This window comes from Homo sapiens, chromosome 5 (genome assembly GCF_000001405.40).
Source record: "Homo sapiens chromosome 5, GRCh38.p14 Primary Assembly".
Classification (NCBI taxonomy): Eukaryota; Metazoa; Chordata; class Mammalia; order Primates; family Hominidae; genus Homo; species Homo sapiens.
Window position 1 is genome coordinate 69,624,175 of NC_000005.10, and position 21,478 is coordinate 69,645,652.

The 21,478-nt window shown below is 49.3% G+C and overlaps 2 pseudogenes across 1 annotated transcript in view, besides 4 other annotated features; one reads left to right on the forward strand and one right to left on the reverse strand.

Moving 5' to 3' along the window:
• On the forward strand, positions 7,582-12,779 carry LOC728488 (POM121 membrane glycoprotein (rat) pseudogene; annotated as a pseudogene).
• Positions 8,895-9,560: an enhancer, noted in NCBI's record as "H3K27ac-H3K4me1 hESC enhancer chr5:68928896-68929561 (GRCh37/hg19 assembly coordinates)". NCBI's record gives its function as "activates a minimal SCP1, AML or CMV promoter by ChIP-STARR-seq in primed H9 embryonic stem cells {active_cell/tissue: H9 hESC(primed)}" and the evidence as "EXISTENCE:reporter gene assay evidence [ECO:0000049][PMID:30033119]".
• Positions 9,561-10,227: an enhancer, noted in NCBI's record as "H3K27ac-H3K4me1 hESC enhancer chr5:68929562-68930228 (GRCh37/hg19 assembly coordinates)". NCBI's record gives its function as "activates a minimal SCP1, AML or CMV promoter by ChIP-STARR-seq in primed H9 embryonic stem cells {active_cell/tissue: H9 hESC(primed)}" and the evidence as "EXISTENCE:reporter gene assay evidence [ECO:0000049][PMID:30033119]".
• Positions 10,228-10,893: an enhancer, noted in NCBI's record as "H3K27ac-H3K4me1 hESC enhancer chr5:68930229-68930894 (GRCh37/hg19 assembly coordinates)". NCBI's record gives its function as "activates a minimal SCP1, AML or CMV promoter by ChIP-STARR-seq in primed H9 embryonic stem cells {active_cell/tissue: H9 hESC(primed)}" and the evidence as "EXISTENCE:reporter gene assay evidence [ECO:0000049][PMID:30033119]".
• GUSBP3 (GUSB pseudogene 3) overlaps positions 15,289-21,478 on the reverse strand; it is a 71,065-nt pseudogene continuing 64,875 nt past the window's right edge. Inside the window, exons 5-6 of the transcript NR_027386.2 lie at positions 18,031-18,115; positions 15,289-16,192 (exon numbers count right to left, since the gene is read on the reverse strand). The product of NR_027386.2 is annotated as a GUSB pseudogene 3 (transcript). The remainder of the gene's footprint in view (positions 16,193-18,030; positions 18,116-21,478) is intronic.
• Positions 17,558-18,059: an enhancer, noted in NCBI's record as "H3K27ac hESC enhancer chr5:68937559-68938060 (GRCh37/hg19 assembly coordinates)". NCBI's record gives its function as "activates a minimal SCP1, AML or CMV promoter by ChIP-STARR-seq in primed H9 embryonic stem cells {active_cell/tissue: H9 hESC(primed)}" and the evidence as "EXISTENCE:reporter gene assay evidence [ECO:0000049][PMID:30033119]".

The following is a 21,478-nucleotide window of genomic DNA, read 5'->3' on the forward strand; positions in this document are numbered from 1 at the left end:
CCATTTTAGAGTACACAATTCTGTGGCATTTATTATAGTACATTCACAATGTTGTGCAACCACCCCCTCTATCTAGTTCCAAAACACTTTCATCGCCCCCAAAGGAAACTCTGTATCCATCAAGCAGGCCCCCCTCCTCTCTCCACCCCACTCCATGCCCAGCCCCTGGGATACACCAACCTAATTGGTGTCTATGGATTTATTTGTTCTGACTATTTCCTCTAAATGGAAGCATACCGTTTGACCTTTTGCATTTGGATTCTTTCACTTGGCATATTGTTTTGAAGTTTATCCATGTTGTAGCTTGCATAAGTACTTCTTTCCTTTTGAGACCAAGTAATATTCCATATGGATACACTGCATTTTATTTATCCATTCATCTATTTGTAGATATTTGGGTTGTTTCTACCTTTTGGCTACCATGAGTAATACCGATAGGAACATTTGGGTACAGGTATCTGATGGAGCATGTAACTGTATTCAAGTCTCTGGGGCATATACCTAACAACGATATTGCTAGCTGTATAGTAATTCTATGTTTTTACTTTTTTTTTTTTTTTCTCACACAGAGTCTCACTCTGTCACTCAGGCTGGAGTGCAGCGGTGCGATCTCAGCTCACTGCAACCTCCGCCTCCCAGGTTCAAGCAATTTTCCTGCCTCAGTCTCCTGAGTAGCTGGGATTACAGGTGTCTGCCACCATGCCCGGCTAATTTTTTGTATTTTTAGGGTTTCACCATGTTGGCTAGGCTGGTCTCAAACTCCTGACCTCAAGTGATCCACCTGGCTTGGCCTCCCAAAGTGCTGGAATTACAAGCGTGAGCCACAGCGCCTGGCCTGTTTTAACTTTTTGAGGAAATGCTAAACTGTTTTTTCCACAGTGCTTGCACCATTTTAAATTCCCACCAACAACAATGTTGTGCAACCACCCCCTCTATCTAGTTCCAAAACACTTTCATCGCCCCCAAAGAAAACTCTGTATCCACTAAGCAGGCCCTCCTTCTCTCTCCACCCCACTCCATGCCCAGCCCCTGGGATACACCAACCTAATTGGTGTCTATGGATTTATTTGTTCTGACTATTTCCTCTAAATGGAAGCATACAGTTTGACCAACAATGTATGAGGTTTCCCATTTCTCATCAACACTTTTCTATTTTTAAAAAAATTATAGCCATCTGCTTAATTTTTTTTTTTTTTTTTTTGAGATGGAGTCTCACTGTGTTGCCCAGGCTGGAGTGCAGTGGCATGATCTCGGCTCACTGTAGACTCTGCCTCCCAGGTTCAAGCAATTCTTCCTGCCTCAGCATCCCAAGTAGCTGGGACTACAGGCATGCACCACTATGCTTGGCTAATTTTTGTATTTTTAATAGAGATGGAGTTTTGCCACGTTGGCCAGGCTAGTTTCAAACTCCTGACCTCAAGTGATCCGCCTGCCTCAGCCTCCCAAAGTGCTGGTATTACAGGCGTGAGCCACTGCGGCTGGTCCATTTTCATCTTGGAGGAGTCATCCATCATTTTCACCTCCTTGAATGAGTTTCCCTGGAAGTCTTCTGGCCTGCTGGATTATGAACAACTTGTCCTATAATCATCCTGGGATCCAGGGATCTTTCTTCACAGGCATCCTGGAGATTATCTCCTCTGTTGTATCTCCTGGATCTAATGTCATCCTCTTCTTGGTTCACTCGCTCATTTTGTTGGAACACTTCATCGGAGTTCCCTGGGAAAGACTGCATAAGAAATACACACTTTTAGTTGCATATAATGCATATACAGACATATAGATCTATCTAGATATATGTTTTTCCTGTATTCTCACACTTATTTGATAGTTTAGCTAGGTGTAGAATTATAGGTTGGAAGTCATTTTAATTCTAAATTGTAGAGGCACTGCTACATTTCTACTGGTTCCTAATGTGCTGTCGAGAAGTTCCATGCCTTTCTGCTTGTCAATCCTTTTACTGCAAACAAAATTTTTTTTTTTCCTGTGCTGGAAGCTTTCAGAAAAATATCTGTTCTAAAATTTTACGAAGAAATATTTCTTTTCTATGAATCTTTAAACTTAATTTTTTTTACCCATCAAACTCTTTAGAAATGTTTAATTGCAAGAAGAAATTTGTGTTTTCACTATGTAATTAGTAAGAGTTTTTTTTTTTAGAAATGAATATGAACACATACAGATTTTAAAATGAATGCTTCCTGCTCATTTGTATAGTGGTAAAAACAAAAATAAAACAAAATGAATACTTCTATCTAATTTTATTGCCTTGAAGGTATTTTGATAGCAGTAGTTACCTCATTTTTCTTTCTTATTTGGGCTTAGTGTATAATAAATTATTGAGAACAATGGGGACATTCTACTTAATTCTTGGAAGGATAAGCTAGGATGCAGTCTAGTCTTATTTAGAACTTACTCTGGAATCGATCAACTCCCTTTTATACTATTATTATTATTATTAGTTTTAGTGTTTTGTTGTTGTTGTTTTTGAGATGGAGTCTCACTCTGTCACCCAGGCTGGAGTGCAGTGGCGTGATCTCGGCTCACTGCAACCTCCGCCTCCCGGGTTCAAGCGATTCTCCTGCCTCAGCCTCCCAAGTAGCTGGGATTACAGGTACCTCCCCACCATGCCTGGCTAATTTTTTGTACTTTTAGTAGAGACGGGGTTTCACCATGTTGGCCAGGCTGGTCTTGAACTCCTGACCTCAAGTGATCCTCCTGCCTCAGCCTCCCAAAGTGCTGGGATTACAGGTGTGAGCCGCCACACCTGGCCTTTAGTGTTTTTTTGTTAAGAGACTGGGTCTCGGCTCTGTCACCCAGGCTGGAGCAAGTGCAGTGGTACAATCCTAGCTGACTGTAGCCTCAAATTCCTGGGCTCAAGTGATCCTCCCACCTCAGCCTCCCAAGTAGCTAGGACTACAAGCATGTGTCACCATGCCCGACTAATTTTTTAAAGTTTTTTTTTGTAGAGATGGGGTCTTGCTTTGTTGCCCAGGCTGGTCTCAAACTCCTGGCTCCAAATGATCCTTCTGCTTCAGCCTCCCAAAGTACTTGGATTACAGGCATGAGCCACTGCTCCCAGCCAACTCCTTTTTGGATTTTTACTCTTCCTTTGCCTCTTAAAAAAACTGCAAACCAGTATGTCTCCAAATGATTACCTAAAATTTTTATGTATGCTTTAAAGAATGAATAAAAAGCAACCTATGAACCTCCTAGTAAAGTCAAGAAATTGGACATTATCAATGCCTTAAAAGACCCCTGCGGCCGGGTGCAGTGACTCACGCCTGTAATCTCAGCACTTTGGGAGGCCGATGTGGGCAGATTGTCTGAGCTCAAGAGTTCGAGACCAGCCTGGGCAACATGGTGAAACCCCATCTCTGTTAAAAAGCAGAAAAATTTAACCGGGCCTGGTGACACACACCTGTAGTCCCAGCTATTAGGGAGGCTGAGGCAGGAGAATGGCTTGAACCTGGGAGGCGGAAGTTGCAGTGAGCCAAGATGGCGCCATTGCACTCCTGGGCGACAGAGCGTGACTCTGTCTCAAAAAAAAAAAATAAAAAAAAAAACAACTCTGCATGCCAACCACCCCCTAATTCTGATTATATCCCTGTCCCTCCAATCCAGAGGTAAATGTGATGCTCAGTTTGGGTTAATTATTCCCTTGCTTCTCTTTGTGGTTTTACGAACTACATATACATCCTTAAACATATTTAGCTTTGTCTATTCTTGAAGTTCAAATAAGAAGCATACTGCATGATTCTTCTTGTAATTGGCTGGTTTTACTCCACGATGTTTTTGAGATTCATCCATATTTATATGTACTACACAGTTGTAGTTCACTTGTTTTCATTGGTAAATAGTGTATTATTTTATGAATATATAATAACTTATTTTACTGTTGATTAACCTCGTGGGTCGTTTTCAGAGTGTTGCAAATTCAAATAATGCCCTATGAACATTCTTGTACATATTTTCCAGTGCTCATGTGTGTTTCTCTAGGATACATAACAAAGTAAAGAATTGCAGAGTCATAGAACTTTGCGGGTGTTCAACTCCACTAGATAATGCAAAGCTTTTTCCCAAGTGGTTGCACTGATTTACATTCCCATTGGCCTAGATGCGTTGCTATTGATTTGCTTCCTCACTAACTTGGTATTGCCCAAATTTTAATTTTTGTCAGTGTAATTACTAATAATGTTAAGCTTATTTTCTTCTTCTTTTTTTCTTTCTTTTTTTTTTTTTTGAGACGGAGTTTCACTCTTGTTGCCCAGGCTGGAGTGCAATGGCACGATCTCGGCTCACCACAACCTCCGCCTCCCAGGTTCAAGTGATTCTCCTGCCTCAGCCTCCCGAGTAGCTGGGATTACAGGCATGTGCCACCACGCCCAGCTAATTTTGTATTTTTAGTAGAGATGGGGTTTCTCCATGTTGGTCAGGCTGGTCTCGGACTCCCAACCTCAGGTGATCCACCCACCTCAGCCTCCCAAAGTGCTGGGATTACAGGTGTGAGCCACCGCGCCCGGCAGTTGAGCTTATTTTCATATTTTCCTGCAGAATAGTCTTGTTCTTTCTCTTCAAGAGTGTGTCTTAGCTATTTTTTTGCCCTTTGGTCTTTCATATTCCAGAGAATATATTAAATATCCCAAGCAGGCATGGTGGTTCACACCTATAATCCCAGCACTTTGGGAGGCTGAGGTGGGAGGAGTGCACAAGGCGAGGAGTTTGAGACTAGCCTTTGCAACATAGCTAGACTCCATTTCTACAAAAAATTTTTAAAACAAACAGGGTGTGGTAGCATGCATCTGTAGTCCCAGCTACCTGGGAGGCAGAGGCAGGAGAATCGCTTGAGCTCAGGAGTATAGGTTGCAATGAGCTATGATTGTGCCACTGTACTGTGGCCTGGGTGACAGAGTAAAACTTTGTCTCTAAAAAACAGAAATATCCCTCTTTATCCTTGATAGTATTTTTTAGGCCTTTATTAGTTTTTTCATGTTACATCTTTTAGATTATTTTCTTTTTAATCTATCTGTGACTATATTTAAAGTCAATTCTTGTTTTTTCCTTTTCCTTTTTGTGGGTAACGGGGTCTCACTATGTTGCCCAGGCAGATCTCAAACTCCTGGGCTCAAGCTGTCCTCCCACCTCTGCCACCCTAAGTGTTGAGATTACAGGCATGAGCCACTGCACCCAGCCTTAAAGTGAATTGTTATAGGCAACAACACAGTGGGGTCTTTTATTTTATTTTTTATTTGTTTATGAGACAGACTCGCTCTGTTGCCTACGCTGCAGTGCAGTGGTGCAGTCTTGACTCACTGCAGCCTGGACTTCCCAGGCTCAAGCAATCCTCCCACCTCAGACTCCTGAGTAGCTGGGACTACAGGCACATGCCACCATGCCAGGCTAATTTTTTTTTTCTGGGCCTAGAGATCTGTGGAACTTTGAACTTGAGAGAGATGATTTAAGGTATCTGACAGAAGAAATTTCTAAGCAGCAAAGCATTCGAGAAGAAGCAGAGCATAAAATTTCAGAAAATTTGTAGCCTGATGATGCAACAGAAAAGAAAAATCTATTTTCTCAGGAGACTGGGTTGTAGAAATTTGCATAAGTAATGAGGAGCCAAATGTTAATCACCAAGACAATGGGGCAAATGTCTCCAGGGCATGTTAGAGACCCTCACAGCAGACCCTCCCATCGCAGGCCAGGAGGCTTAGAAGGAAAAATGGTTTTGTGGGTCCAGAACCCCCTGCTGTGTGCAGCCTAGGAACTTGGGGCCCTGCATCCCAGCTGCTCCTGCCATAGGTAAAAGGGGACAAGGTACACCTCAGGCCATGGCTTCAGAGGGTGCAAGTTCCAAGCCTTTCAGGTTCTAGGTGGTGTTAAGCCTGCAGATGCACCGAAGTCAAGAATTAACGTTCATGAACCTCCGCCTACATTTCAGAAGATGTATGAAAATGCCTGGAAATCCAGGCAAAAGTTTGCTGTGGGGGGGAGGGGAGGGGGGGGCCCTCATGGATAACCTCTGCTAGGGCAGTGTCAAAGGGAAATATGGGGTTGGAGCTTCCACACAGAGTCCCCACTGGGGTACTGCCAAGCAGAGCTGTGAGAAAAGGGCCACCATCCTCCAGACCCCAGAATGGTAGATCCACTGACAGCTTGCACTGTGTGCCTAGAAAAGCTGCAGACACTCAATGCAGCCAGAAGGGGGGCTGTACCCTGCAAAGCCACAGGGGCGGGGCTGCCCAAGACCCTGGGAACCCACTTCTTGCATCACCTAGATGTGACACATGGAGTCAAAGGAGGTCATTTTGGAGCTTTAAGATTTGCCTGCTGGGTTTTGGACTTGCATGGGGCCTGTAGCTCTTTCGCTTTGGCCAATTTCTCCCATTTGAAACGAGTGTATCTACCCAATGCCTGTATCCCTGTGTATCTAGAAAATAACTAACTTGCTTTTGATTTTACAGGCTCATAGGTGGAAGGGACTTGCCTTGTCTCAGATGAGACTTTGGACTATGGAATTTTGAGTTAATGCTGAAATAAGAGTTTGGGGGACTTAGGGGAAGGCACGATTGCTTTTGAAATATGAGGACATGAGATTTGGGAGGGGCCGGGGAAGAATTATATGGTTTGGCTCTGTCCGCACCCAAATCTCATCTTGAATTGTAACAATTCCCATGTGTCAAGGGTGGGGCCAGGTGGAGATAACTGAATCATGGAGGCAGTTTCCCCCATGCTGTTCTCATGGTAGTGAATAAGTCTCATGAGGTCTGATGGTTTTATAAATGGATGTTCCCCTGCACATGCTCTCTCCTGCCCACCATGTCTGACTAAATTTTGTATTTTTACTAGAGACGGGCTTTCACTATGTTGGCCAGGCTGGCCTCCAACTCCTGATCTCGTGATCCGTCCACCCCGACCTCCCAAAGTGCTAGGATCATAGGCATAAGCCACCACACCCGGCCTCTTTTTTTTCTTTTTCTTTTTTTTATCTGGAGACTGAGTTTTGCACTCGTTGCCCAGGCTGGAGTGCAATGGTGCGATCTCAGCTCACTGCAGTCTCCACCTCAGCAGGAGAGCAGGAATCTTCAGTGATCCACGGGCAAATATGCAGCCATTGTGGGCACCTGTTCCTCCCGCGACCTTTGTGCCCACGTCTCTCCCTCCAGTACCTACTGCACGACCCCCCACGTCCGCCTCCTGCCATTGCCAGCAGGTGCCTTGCGCGGGTACCTGGCTGCGCTTATTCATCCATTATGGTCGCTCTGTCACTGGTGCCATTATGTGCTCACATGCCCACTCCCTCAGGTTTAGAAGTCGCGTTGCCCGGCAACAGAACAATCTGCTGGCTTAGCCTTTGGCCAAGTTGGCAGCTGGACGAGGACGCTCAGAGCCCAGCTCTTGAGAGTTCAAGTATCCGACAGTTCCCCACTGCTCCCAGGAGCGGTTACCCGGGCACTCTGTGCCCCTCATTCCTGTTTGGGCCAAGGCCGAGGACCTGCGAGTAGGGCTCAGTTGCCTGGAGCCCCTTCAGCCCATCCCCCAGTTCACTTTGCTTGTGGGATCTCCCCGTTGCTCCTGCCCCTGGACTGAGTGGCAGGCCATCCTACAAACACCCGCACACTCGACATCAGTGGTGTCAAGACAACTCTAAGAAGGTTTTCCGTGATCCTGCAAGACCTGTGTTCCATCCTGGTGATTCTGTCTTCAACTTCACTGCACAGGTACCACAGTAAGCCAGTGCTGTGTGCTCTGAGTTCCAGGGCATCCCCCAGCTCAGCCACTACACTGAGCACAAGGACTCTGTGGGGCCCAGGAGCAGGTAGTCACCCCTTTGGGGTCCACAACACCCGGCTGTCCCCAGACTTGTGTCCAGGGAAGATAGTGTTGAGGGCCCTCAAGGAGAGCGGGGCAGGGATGCCTGAGCAGCACAAGGACCCCAGAGTCCAAGAAAATCCTGATGATCAGAGAACGGTCCCCGAGGTCACCGGGGATGCACGGTCTGCATTTTGGCCCCTGCGGGACAATGGAGGCCCCTCTCCCTTTGTGCCCAGGCCCGGGCCTCTGCAGACAGACCTCCACGCCCAGAGCTCAGAAATCAGATATAACCACACATCCCAGACATCCTGGACGAGCTCGAGCACCAAACGAAATGCCATCTCCAGCTCCTACAGCTCCACGGGAGGCTTGCCGGGGCTAAAGCAGAGGAGGGGGCCAGCCTCATCCCGCTGCCAGCTGACCCTCAGTTACTCAAAGACAGTGAGTGAGGACAGGCCTCAGGCTGTCTCTTCGGGTCACACACGGTGTGAAAAGGGGGCAGATACAGCACCAGGGCAGACAATCGCCCCAACGGGTGGCTCCCCCAGATCCCAGGACTCTAGGCCCCGTAGACGCAAGATTCCCCTGCTGCCACGCAGGCGAGGGGAGCCTTTGATGCTGCCACCTCCCTTAGAGCTGGGGTACCGGGTCACGGCTGAAGACCTGCACCTGGAAAAAGAGAAGGCATTCCAGCGCATCAACAGTGCACTGCACGTTGAGGACAAGGCCATCTCGGACTGCAGACCCTCACGGCCTTCCCACACTTTGTCCTCACTTGCAACAGGGGCTTCGGGTGGGCCTCCCGTTTCTAAAGCACCCACTATGGATGCACAGCAGGACAGACCCAAGTCCCAAGACTGCCTGGGCCTAGTGGCCCCCCTAGCATCTGCAGCAGAGGTCCCCGCTACAGCTCCCGTGTCTGGGAAGAAGCACAGACCACCAGGACCCCTGTTCTCCTCCTCAGATCCCCTTCCGGCCAACTCTTCCCACTCCCGGGACTCAGCCCAGGTCACCTCGATGATTCCTGTCCCCTTGACAGCTGCAAGCAGGGATGCCGGCATGAGAAGAACAAGGTCGGCTCCTGCAGCTGCCGCAGCAGCCCCTCCCCCCTCCACATTGAACCCCACGTCGGGGTCACTACTCAATGCAGTGGATGGAGGCCCCTCACATTTCTTGGCCTCAGCCACAGCTGCAGCACGTGTCCAGAGGTCAGAAGTGAGATATAACCAGAGATCCCAGACCTCCCGGACCAGATCGTGCCTCAAACGAAATGCCAGCTCCAGCTCCCACAGCTCTACGGAAGGCCTCCAGGAAGTAAAGCGGAGGAGGGGGCCAGCCTCATCCCACTGCCAGCTGGCCCACAGTTCCTCAAACACAGTGAGTGAGGATGGACCTCAGGCTGTCTCTTCGGGTCACCGCTGTGAAAACAAGGCAGGTACAGCACCAGGGCAGACACTTGCCCCCAGGGGTGGCTCCCCCAGATCCCAGGCCTCTAGGCCCCACATCAACACTGCACTGCACGTTGAGGACAAGGCCATCTCGGACTGCAGACCCTCACGACCTTCCCACACTTTGTCCTCACTTGCAACAGAGGCTTCGGGTGGGCCTCCCGTTTCTAAAGCACCCACTATGGACGCACAGCAGGACAGACCCAAGTCCCAAGACTGCCTGGGCCTAGTGGCCCCCCTAGCATCTGCTGCAGAGGTCCCCTCTACAGCTCCCGTGTCTGGGAAGAAGCACAGACCACCAGGACCCCTGTTCTCCTCCTCAGATCCCCTTCCTGCCACCTCTTCCCACTCCCGGGACTCAGCCCAGGTCACCTCGCTGATTCCTGCCACCTTCACAGCTGCAAGCAGGGATGCCGGCATGAGAAGAACAAGGTCGGCTCCTGCAGCTGCCGCAGCAGCCCCTCCCCCCTCCACATTGAACAACACGTCGGGGTCACTACTCAATGCAGTGGATGGAGGCCCCTCACATTTCTTGGCCTCAGCCACAGCTGCAGCACGTGCCCAGAGGTCAGAAGTGAGATATAACCAGAGATCCCAGACCTCCCGGACCAGATCCTGCCTCAAACGAAATGCCAGCTCCAGCTCCAGCTCCCACAGCTCTACGGAAGGCCTCCAGGAACTAAAGCGGAGGAGGGGGCCAGCCTCATCCCACTGCCAGCTGGCCCACAGTTCCCCAAACACAGTGAGTGAGGACGGACCTCAGGCTGTCTCTTCGGGTCACCGCTGTGAAAACAAGGCAGGTACAGCACCAGGGCAGACACTCGCCCCCAGGGGAGGCTCCCCCAGATCCCAGGCCTCTAGGCCCCACATCAACAGTGCACTGCACGTTGAGGACAAGGCCATCTCGGACTGCAGACCCTCACGGCCTTCCCACACTTTGTCCTCACTTGCAACAGGGGCTTCGGGTGGGCCTCCCGTTTCTAAAGCACCCACTATGGACGCACAGCAGGACAGACCCAAGTCCCAAGACTGCCTGGGCCTAGTGGCCCCCCTAGCATCTGCTGAAGAGGTCCCCTCTACAGCTCCCGTGTCTGGGAAGAAGCACAGACCACCAGGACCCCTGTTCTCCTCCTCAGATCCCCTTCCTGCCACCTCTTCCCACTCCCGGGACTCAGCCCAGGTCACCTCGCTGATTCCTGCCACCTTCACAGCTGCAAGCAGGGATGCCGGCATGAGAAGAACAAGGCCTGGCACCTCGGCTCCTGCAGCTGCCGCAGCAGCCCTTCCCCCCTCCACATTGAACCCCACGTCGGGGTCGCTACTCAATGCAGTGGATGGAGGCCCCTCACATTTCTTGGCCTCAGCCACAGCTGCAGCACGTGCCCAGAGGTCAGAAGTGAGATATAACCAGAGATCCCAGACCTCCCGGACCAGATCCTGCCTCAAACGAAATGCCAGCTCCAGCTCCCACAGCTCTACGGAAGGCCTCCAGGAAGTAAAGCGGAGGAGGGGGCCAGCCTCATCCCACTGCCAGCTGGCCCACAGTTCCTCAAACACAGTGAGTGAGGACGGACCTCAGGCTGTCTCTTCGGGTCACCGCTGTGAAAACAAGGCAGGTACAGCACCAGGGCAGACACTCGCCCCCAGGGGTGGCTCCCCCAGATCCCAGGCCTCTAGGCCCCGCATCAACAGTGCACTGCACGTTGAGGACAAGGCCATCTCGGACTGCAGACCCTCACGGCCTTCCCACACTTTGTCCTCACTTGCAACAGGGGCTTCGGGTGGGCCTCCCGTTTCTAAAGCACCCACTATGGATGCACAGCAGCACAGACCCAAGTCCCAAGACTGCCTGGGCCTACTGGCCCCCCTAGCATCTGCTGCAGAAGTCCCCTCTACAGCTCCCGTGTCTGGGAAGAAGCACAGACCACCAGGACCCCTGTTCTCCTCCTCAGATCCCCTTCCTGCCACCTCTTCCCACTCACGGGACTCAGCCCAGGTCACCTCGCTGATTCCCGCGCCCTTCACAGCTGCAAGCAGCGATGCCGGCATGAGAAGAACAAGGCCTGGCACCTCGGCTCCTGCAGCTGCAGCAGCAGCCCCTCCCCCCTCCACATTGAACCCCACGTCGGGGTCACTACTCAATGCAGTGGATGGAGGCCCCTCACATTTCTTGGCCTCAGCCACAGCTGCAGCACGTGTCCAGAGGTCAGAAGTGAGATATAACCAGAGATCCCAGACCTCCCGGACCAGATCCTGCCTCCAAGGAAATGCCAGCTCCAGCTCCCACAGCTCTACGGAAGGCCTCCCGCAACTAAAGCGGAGGAGGGGGCCAGCCTCATCCTACTGCCAGCTGGCCCACAGTTCCTCAAACACAGTGAGTGAGGACGGACCTCAGGCTGTCTCTTCGGGTCACACCCGCTGTGAGAAGAAGGCAGGTACAGCACCAGGGCAGACACTTGCCCCCAGGGGTGGCTCCCCCAGATCCCAGGCCTCTAGGCCCCGCATCAACACTGCACTGCACGTTGAGGACAAGGCCATCTCGGACTGCAGACCCTCACGGCCTTCCCACACTTTGTCCTCACTTGCAACAGGGGCTTCGGGTGGGCCTCCCGTTTCTAAAGCACCCACTATGGATGCACAGCAGGACAGACCCAAGTCCCAAGACTGCCTGGGCCTACTGGCCCCCCTAGCATCTGCTGCAGAGGTCTCCTCTACAGCTCCCATGTCTGGGAAGAAGCACAGACCACCAGGACCCCTGTTCTCCTCCTCAGATCCCCTTCCTGCCACCTCTTCCCACTCCGGGGACTCAGCCCAGGACACCTCGCTGATTCCTGCCCCCTTCACACCTGCAAGCAGGGATGCCGGCATCAGAAGAATGTTTCGTGTTCGAAATTGTTTGAGGGGTTTGGGTTTATTTTTGTTGGTTTTTTCTTTTTTTTTTTTGCTTACGTGGGCATCCTTCAGCTTTTAATAATCTGAAAAATTGTATTTACCCATTGTCAATGTGTATAAATTAATCTCAGTCAATTTTATACAATAAAAGGTGAACTTTTATCCATCAAACAATAATTTAACAAAAAATGTACCGGAAGAAGAATGTTCATTACAAATATAGGAAACATAAATATTACCAAATATTGGCAAGCACTAAAATGTTCAGAAATATAAGTCTATTACAGTTATAGCTCTCTCAAGCAAAAAAACAGCAGAGAAAAACTTAGTTTTCCTGAGGGGCTATTTATTTACTTAGGGATTTGTTAAAAGGTCAAATGGGGTCACACAGAATACTAAGAAGAGCTGTTCACCCAGGCCTCACTAAGAACTCTTCTTCATGCAGTAGCTATATAGGAATATGACAACTGCTCCTACGACCCAAAGAGGAACTACAGCAACTACTCTTTAGCATCTGTTGCTCCCAACTCTGCTTTGCAATTATATGACTCAAGCATTCTGGCTCCGTTAACTATTACTGCTGTTACTCCCAAGTAAATTCCCTCTAAAAAATAAAAATTTTTAAAGCTGTAATTTAAGCTCTCTGCTGCCTCATGACTTCAATTCCATCAGAGTTACGCATTGTTTCCTCTGTACATCTTTGCTCTGCTTCCATTGCTAATTCCCTAGTAAAGTGTTGTATATTCAAAGTTCCAAAGAAACAGAATATCCAAGACATCACCAATCATCCAAAACACAGTGTAGGAGGCCACAGTTAAGAGAAGCAAGACCATTAGCTCTTTTTATAGGCTCGAGAACAACAGGATGCTTTGGTCCTGTATCAGCAGGACGCTTTTTGGGTAGATCCTACTGCCACCCTACTATCGGGTAGATCCTACTGTCACCCTAGCTATGGGCACATGTCAGAGTCCCATGTAATAAAGGAGACAAAAGGAAACCACCACGAGTATAAACTAAGAAAAGTACTCCAAGGTTTCTAAGAATGGAGCTGTATAACTCACTTTGCCCCGTTTGTTACTTCTCCACGGTACTTACCACCACCTATTACATATATTTTGTTTATAGTCAGTCTTCCCCCATTAGAATGAAAGTTCCGTGAGGATAGGACTATACAGTCAGCCCTCAGTATCCATGGGGGACTGGTTTCAGGATCTCCTGAGGGTAACAAAGGATACTCAAGTCCCTGATATAAAATGACATAGTATTTGCACATCACCTTTGCACATCCTCCCATATACTTCATATCAACTCTAGATCACTCATAATATCCGATGTAAATGTCATGCAAATAGTTATTGTACTATATTGTGTAAGGAATAAGGACAAGAAAAAAGTCTGTACATGTTCAGTACAGACGCAATTTTTTTTTCCAATATTTCCAATCCTTGGTTGCCTTAACGGATGTAGAACCCAGGAATAAGTTCTGGTGTCCTATTGCATAGTAGGATGAGTATAGTTAACAATAACATATTATATATTTGAAAATAGCCAGAAGAGTAGATTTTGAATTTTCTCCCTACAGAAAAATCATTATGCAAATTACCCTGATTTGATCATTACACATTGAGTACATGTATTAAAACATCACATTCTACCCCATATATATGTACAGTTATTATGTGTCCATAAAAATTTAATGTCAATGTGTGAAATAAAATGAAAAAATAAAAATTTTTAAAGCTGTAATTATCTCCATCTGGTAGGAATATATACAATCTGAAATAAAAAATATATTTGTAATTGTTAGGACAAAATAGATTATACATTAAGTCTGCAAATTATAAATTATAAAATTCTCACAGAACCTGAAAAATTATTGATACTGTTAAATATTTAAAAAGCTGTCCTTGGAGAGAAAGAAACCTATCAGATTTACATCAACAAGTGTAATATGTCAGCCTATTACCATCTGCTACAGACTGCATGTTTGTGTTCCCTCAAAATTCATATGATAGGCCCGGCGCGGTGGCTCATGCCTGTAATCCCAGCACTTTCGGAGGCCGAGGCGGGTGGATCATGAGGTCAGGAGATCGAGATCATCCTGGCTAACATGGTAAAACCCCGTCTCTACTGAAAATACAAAAAATTAGCCGGGCGCAGTGGCGGGCGCCTTAGTCCCAGCTACTGAGGAGGCTGACGCAGGAGAATGGCGTGAACCCAGGAGGCGGAGCTTGTAGAGAGCCGAGATTGTGCCACTGCACTCCAGCCTGGGTGACAGACAGAGCGAGACTCTGTCTCAAAAAAAAAAAAAAAAAAAAAAATTCATATGATAAAGCCCTAACCCCCAAGGTGAGGATACTGGGAGGCGTGGCCTTTAGGAGAGAATTAGGTTTAGATGAGGTCATGAGAATAGAGCCCCTATGGTGGCATTACTTCCTTTATAAGAAGAGACACTAGAGCTGCTTTTCTCCCTGCCATGTGAGGATACCGAGAGAAGATGGCCATTTCCAATCTAGGAAGCAGGCCCTCTTTAAGAAACATAATTTGCCAACACTTTGATCTTGCACTTCCAGTCTGCAGAACTGTGAGAAATATCTGTTTTTTTTTGTTTGTTTGTTTTTGTTTTTTTTGAGACAGAGTCTCATTCTGTCATCCAGGCTGGAGTACAGTGGTGCGATCATGGCTCACTGCAACCTCCGCCTCCCAGGTTCAAGCAATTCTCCCACCTCAGCCTCCCAAGTAGCTCAGACTACAGGCGTGCACCACCACGCCCAGCTAATTTTCGTAGAGACAAGGTTTTGCCATGCTGCCCAGGCTAGTCTCAAACTCCTGAGCTCAAGTTATCCACCTGCCTCGGCCTCCCAAAGTGTTAGGAATACAGGCATAAGCCACCACGCCTGGTCAAAATATCTACTGTTTAAGCTACCTAATTTATGGTATTCTGTTTTAGCAGCTGAAGCAGACTAAGATACCATCCTATAAGCTACAGACCAGCACTATCCAATAGAACTTTATATGACGAGGAAATGTTTTATATCTGTGCTATCCCTTATGTTAGCCACTAGCCACATGTATCCATCAAGTATTTGAAATATGGCTAGTGCAACTAAAGAACTTAATTTTTAATTTTCTTTTTTTTTTTGAGATGGAGTCTCGCTCTGTCCCCCAGGCTGGAGTGCAGTGGCGCCATCTCGGCTCACTGCAAACTCTGCCTCCCAGGTTCACGCCATTCTCCTGCCTCAGCCTCCTGAGTAGCTGGGACTGCAGGCGCCCGCCACCACGCCCGGCTAATTTTTTGTATTTTTAATAGAGATGGGGGTTCACCGTCTTAGTAAGGATGGTCTCGATCTCCTGACCTAATGATCTGCCCGCCTCGGCCTCCCAAAGTGCTGGGATTACCGGCGTGAGCCACCACGCCCGGCCAATTTTTATTTTATCTTATTTAAATAACCACATGTGGCTAGTGGCTAATGTATTGAACACTACAGCTGTAGACAATACGAAATAAATATAAAGCAGTCTCAACTTTGGAAAAACAGAAGACTCTTACTGCCTCATAATATAGATGAAAAATGAAATACTAAGATAAGTAAAACGTTCTTTAAAGAACAAAAACAAAAGAAAACCTAATGAAAGCTATAAAAGTCCATTGGATAATAATGCTACCAGTACTAAGGAAGTACAGCCCCTAAGAGTGACTTGCAGTCACAAATATAAAAATGACTATTCAACTGAACTCCTAAGGTGAAAATTTCTTATTCACCATGCTCCAAAATGGTCTGTAATATTCTTCAGAGATGGCATGGTGGGGGAGGCAAGTGGCATCTCTGCCCAGAGAGAATACACAAGCAGAAAGTTCAACACCGCTTACCTGGTGAAGCCCTACAAGCGTTTCCACTCCATACGCGCTCTGAATAATGGGATTGTGATGTCTTACACCAATTCTCAAACTGGGCGGCCAGCTGCAGCTGAATCAACTCCAGGTGCCCGTAGTTGCGATACCAAGAGTAGTAGCTGTTCACACGGATCACATCCACATACAGAGCCTAGGACCAGAGCAGCAGAGCCCGTTCAGCAACCACAAGACCGCATGACTCAGTACTCACATGCTGTGGGGGCTCCTCTGACAGAGAAGGTAAGAAGGGGATGTAATCCCAGCACTCTGGGAGGCTGAGGCAGGAGGGTGGCTTGTGGCCAGGAGTTCGAGACCAGCCTGGGCAACACAGCAAGACCCCAGCTCTACAAAAAATAGTATCAAGAAAATCAGCACGGCACAGTGGCTCATGCCTGTAATCCCAGCACATTGGGAGGCCAAGGTGGGAGGATCACTTGAGCCCAGGAGTTTGAGACCAGCCTGGGCAACGTCGTAGGACTCCATTTCTACAAAACAAAACAAAAAGCCTAGAACGGGAAGAGCTGCCTCTCGGGGCTGAGAACATCCAACTGCACCAATTTAGATCCTGAAATTACCCTGCCCCACAAGCAAAAAACATGGTCACAAAGTGGCCCAAAGGAGGCAGGCCTGTGATTGCACACTGACGCTCACGACGTGTGCAGCTGGGAAGGGCTGTGAGAGGCAGAGCAGCTGCCAACACGCAGTCCTCAGCCAAAACCCAGGGCCCCCGCCACTGGAACTGACTCCTCTCCAGGCAGCACTCCCAGCACTGGGCATCCCCTCACCTTGCCCTGGAGAAGCCCTCCCACCCAAGGGGCCAATGCAGTCATTCTCGCAGATAATCTTTTTCCGCTTTGTTTGGAAGACAGAGTCTCGCTCTGTTGCCCAGGCTAGAATGGAGTGGCACAATAATGCAAGCTCTGCCTCCCACGATCAAGCGCAGGCGTGGTGGCATGTGCCTGTTATCCCAGCTACTTGGGAGGCTGAGGCAGGAGAATTGCTTGAACCTGGGAGGCGGAGGTTGCACTGAGCTGAGACTGTGCCACTGCACTCCAGCCTGGGCAACAGAGCAAGACTCTATCTTAAAAAAATAATAAAAAATAAAAAAGAATGCTAGTATCAGCCAGGCACGGTGGCTCATGCCTGTAATCCCAGCACTTTAGGAGGCTAAGGCAGGAGGATCACTTGAGCTCAAGAGTTTGAGACTGGCCTGGGCAACATAGTGAGATCCCATCTCTACAAAAACATTTAAAATTAGCCGGGCACAGTGGTGTACCCCCGGAGTCCCAGCTACTTGGAAGGCTGAGGCAAGAGGGTTGCTTAGGCCCAGGAATTCAAGGCTGCAGTGAGCTGTGATCACACCACTGCACTCCAGCCAGAGCAACAGAGTAAGACCTTGCCTTCACACACACACACAAAAAAACAAAAAACTCAGGTTCCAACCCTGGAGTTACTAAATCAGGATCTCAGAACGCAGAGATCTGGCATTTCAATAAAACTTCCCCTGGAGATTCTGATCAGCCAGGTTTGGGCCAGATCAACTCTAAGCTCACTTAAACCTTTGACATTTTATGAGTCTATTAAATCGAGTACAAAAAATGCTGAGTCCAAACCGGGCAAACAAATCCCATCTCCCTATGCCCAGCCTCCTTGGATTCAGAAAGCCACACTGCCTGGAGAGTAAGCAGAGAGAGAATTGTCATTAACCCAAAGACCATCTTTGAAAACAGACTGGCTGCGGCTGAGTGCGGTGGCACACGCCTGTAACCCCAGCCCTTTGGAAGGCCGAGGCAGGAGGATCACTTGAGCCCAGGAGTTCGAGACCAGCCTGGGCAACATGGCAAGACCCTGTCTCTATCTTTCTAAGTAAAACAAAATAAAAAGCTCAGACTGGCAGCACATGGTTCTTTCCAGCTGTTCCCATGAGCAGGCTTCAGGACAAGCCCAGGCAAAGGCAGGGAGAAATGGGGTGGGGACCCCCAGGCTCACCCCCTTGTCTGCTGCGTAGGTGGAGTTGGTCACAAAGGTCACAGGCTGGGAGGGGTCCAAGGCTTTGGTGTGAGCAATCACCATCCTGTCCACAAAAGAGAGAAGACACAGGTTCCGTCAGTCCGGGAAAGGCTCAGACACCCTCCCATCCTCTCTGTCCCATCTTCCCCTGCCAGAACACAACTGGGGGCCAGGCACGATGGCTCACGCCTGTAATCCCAGCACTTCAGGAGGCTGAGGCAGGCAGATCACTGAGGTCAGGGGTTCAAGAACAGCCTGGCCAACATGGCAAAACCCCATTTCTACTAAATATACAAAAATTAGCCAGGCTTAGTGGCACGCATCTGTAACTCCAGCTACTCGGGAGGCTGAGGCACAAGAATTGCTTGAACCCGGGAGGTGGAGGTTGCAGTGAGCCGAAATCACGCTACTGCACTCCAGCCTGGGCCACAGAGCAAGACCCTGCCCCAAAACAAACAAACAAACAAACAAACAAAAAAAAAAAAAAGAAAGAAAGAAAAGAAAAAAAAAAAAAAAAACAAAGCACAGAGCCGCTGCTTTCTTCCCTAACTTGAGATGTATTTTACATAAGGGCACGTTCCTCTAGTCCTAGACCGAGCTCTCTAACAACACTCTTTCTCCCCCACCCCTGAATCCAACTCCCCCAGAGGCGTAGCCACCCTGCCGGGTACACAGAGCTGAGGTCACTGGACTGAACACTGCCAGAAATGAGGTTCACTTCCTGAAATAGCTCTTGAACACAGGAGTGAATGGGCTGTGGATTCAGGTGGAATATTTATTAATGCATCAAGCAAACAGGTAGTGCGAGGTGGGAGGTAGGCATGAGGCTGGGTGCTAGGTGCTCAGTAATGACTCAAATCTAAGTCCACAGGTCCTGGGCAGTGGGAGTGGAGATGCATGCACAGAAAAACGGTGCAAGTGCCAGGCGAGGTGGCTCAAGCCTAGAACCCCAGCACTTTGGGAGGCTTACTTGAGACCAGGCGCTTGAGACCAGCCTGGACAACATAGCAAGACCTTGTTTCTACAACAAATTTAAAAATTAGGGCCGGGCATGGTGGCTCAAGCCTGTGAGCACTTTGGGAGGCCAAGGCAGGTGGATCACGAGCTCAAGAGTTCGAGACCAGCCTGGCCAACATGGTGAAACCCCATCTCAACAAAAAATAAAGAAGAAAACTAGCTGGGCATGGTGGCGTGAGCCTGTAATCCCAGCTACTCGGGAGGGTGAGGCAGGAGAACTGTTTGTACCCAGGAGGTAGAGGACGCAGTGAGCCAAGACCGCAACACTGCTCTCCAGCCTGGGAGACAGAGCAAGACTCTGACTCGTGGGGAAAAAAAAATATTAAAATTTAGCCTGGCAAGGCAGCGCACGTCTGTGGTCCCAGCTATTTGGGAGGCTGAGTGGGGAGGATCGCTTAAGCCCAGGAGGTCGAGATGGCAACGAGCTATGATTGCACCACTGCACTCCAGCCTGGGCAACAGAGTGAGACCCTGACTCTGAAAAACAAACAATGAAAGAAATGTTGCGAATGGAAATGACAAGTGGTGGCAGGAATTGGGCACTCTATGAGACAACAGACACATCCCCGATTGGAGAGTCAGGGACAGGCTCTTAGAAGAAATGGCCTTTATGCTGAGTCAAGTTAACCAGGAGGGATGAAGGGAAGAGGCTCCCAACAGAGGGACCAGTCCGTGCTCAGAGCTCCCAGCATCTGCCCAAGGCCTCCACAGAACAGACTGTTGTGTTTTTGTTTTGTTTTGTTTTGTTGAGATACAGAGTCTCATTCTGTAGCCCAGGCTGGAATGCAGTGGCATTATCTCAGCTCATTGCAATCTCTGCCTCCTGGTTCACCTGAGGCGATTCTCCTGCCTCAGCCTACCTGGTAGCTGGCATTACAGACGTCCACCACCATGCCCAGCTAATTTTTGTATTTTTAGTAGAGACAGGATTCACTACCTGTTGACCAGGCTGGTCTCGAACTCCTGACCTCGGGTGATCCACCCACCTCAGCCTCCCAAACTGCTGGGATTACAGGCGTGACCCACCGCATCCGGCCTAGACCGTTGTTGAAGCTGGTTTTCTTCTTCTTTCCTCAGTTCTTTTCTTTTACATCTTCCCCCCATCATTGCTCTGCCCATCCGAAGGCTGTGGCTGGCACAGGACAGAATAGAACCTCCTAGCCTCAAGTTCCAAACCCACACTCTCCAATAGCCAGGCTCTCAGATGGGAAGCTTCAAAGCCTTGTGACAGCCTGGCTGAACCTCTCCAGCCTGGGCCCTCCCTCCATTTCCTGCCCCGGAAACAGGCATCTCCTCTGGCCACCTCCCAAAGCCTGTCTGGAAGCCTCAGGCACCCGCTCCTGGAAGCCTGTACGATTCACAACAAACGGCCTGTCCACCCAGTCGTGCTGAGCACACCCCTATTCCCCCGAGCTCTGAACTGTCCTTTGCCCAGGCTAGGACAACATCTCAGAGCCTTCTGCCTGCTGCAGACTCGGCTCAGCCCAAATCACTCCATGAAATTGGGGTGTGGCATCTGCCTCAAGGAGCATTTCTACAACCTCTGCTGCCTCTACCGCAAATGAAACTGGCTCTCACCCACTGGCTCTCGGTGACGGGCACAGTGCGGAGCCCCACAGGGAGTGTGTAGAAGTCAAAGGCCCCAGTGACTTCTGTGCAGTCAGCCGCACCTACGACAGCCAAAGCGCCAGGTGTGAGCGCCCCGACAGCCTGAGCCCCATCTGGCCTGCCCTACAGCAGGAAGACCCCTCGTGCATGCACCCCAGAAGTCGCCACTGGGCCTGCAGAGAAGCAGCAACCAGAGGCTCTGCCCTTCACTGGCTGACCCTGGGACCTGCCCTTCAAAATCAGGCCTTCTCCTTGACCAGACGAGGTGGCTCATGCCTGGAATCCCTACACTTTGGGAGGCTAAGGCAGGAGGATCACCTGAGTCCAGGAGTTCAAGACCAGCCTGGGCAACCTAGTAAGACCCCAACTCTATAAAAAGGAGTTTTTTTTTTTTTGAGACAGTCTCACTCTGTCACCCAGGATAGAGTGCTGCGGCATGATCTCAATTCACCGCAGCCCCTGCCTCCTGGGTTCAAGCAATTCCCCTGCCTCAGCCTCCCGAGTAGCTGGGATTACAGACGTGCACCATCATGCCCTGCAAATTTTCATATTTTAGTAGAGACGGGGTTTCACCATGTTGGCCAGGCTGGTCTCCAACTCCTGGCCTAAAGTGATCCGCCCGCGTCAGCCTCCCGAAGTGCTGGGATTACAGGTGTGAGCCACCATGCCCGGCCTACAAAAAAAATTTTTTTAATTAGCCAGGCATGGTGGCATGTGCCTGTAGTCCCAGCTACTCAGGAGGCCAAGGTAGGAGGATTGCAGCTCAAAGCTGCAGTGAGCTGTGATCAGGCCATTGCATTCC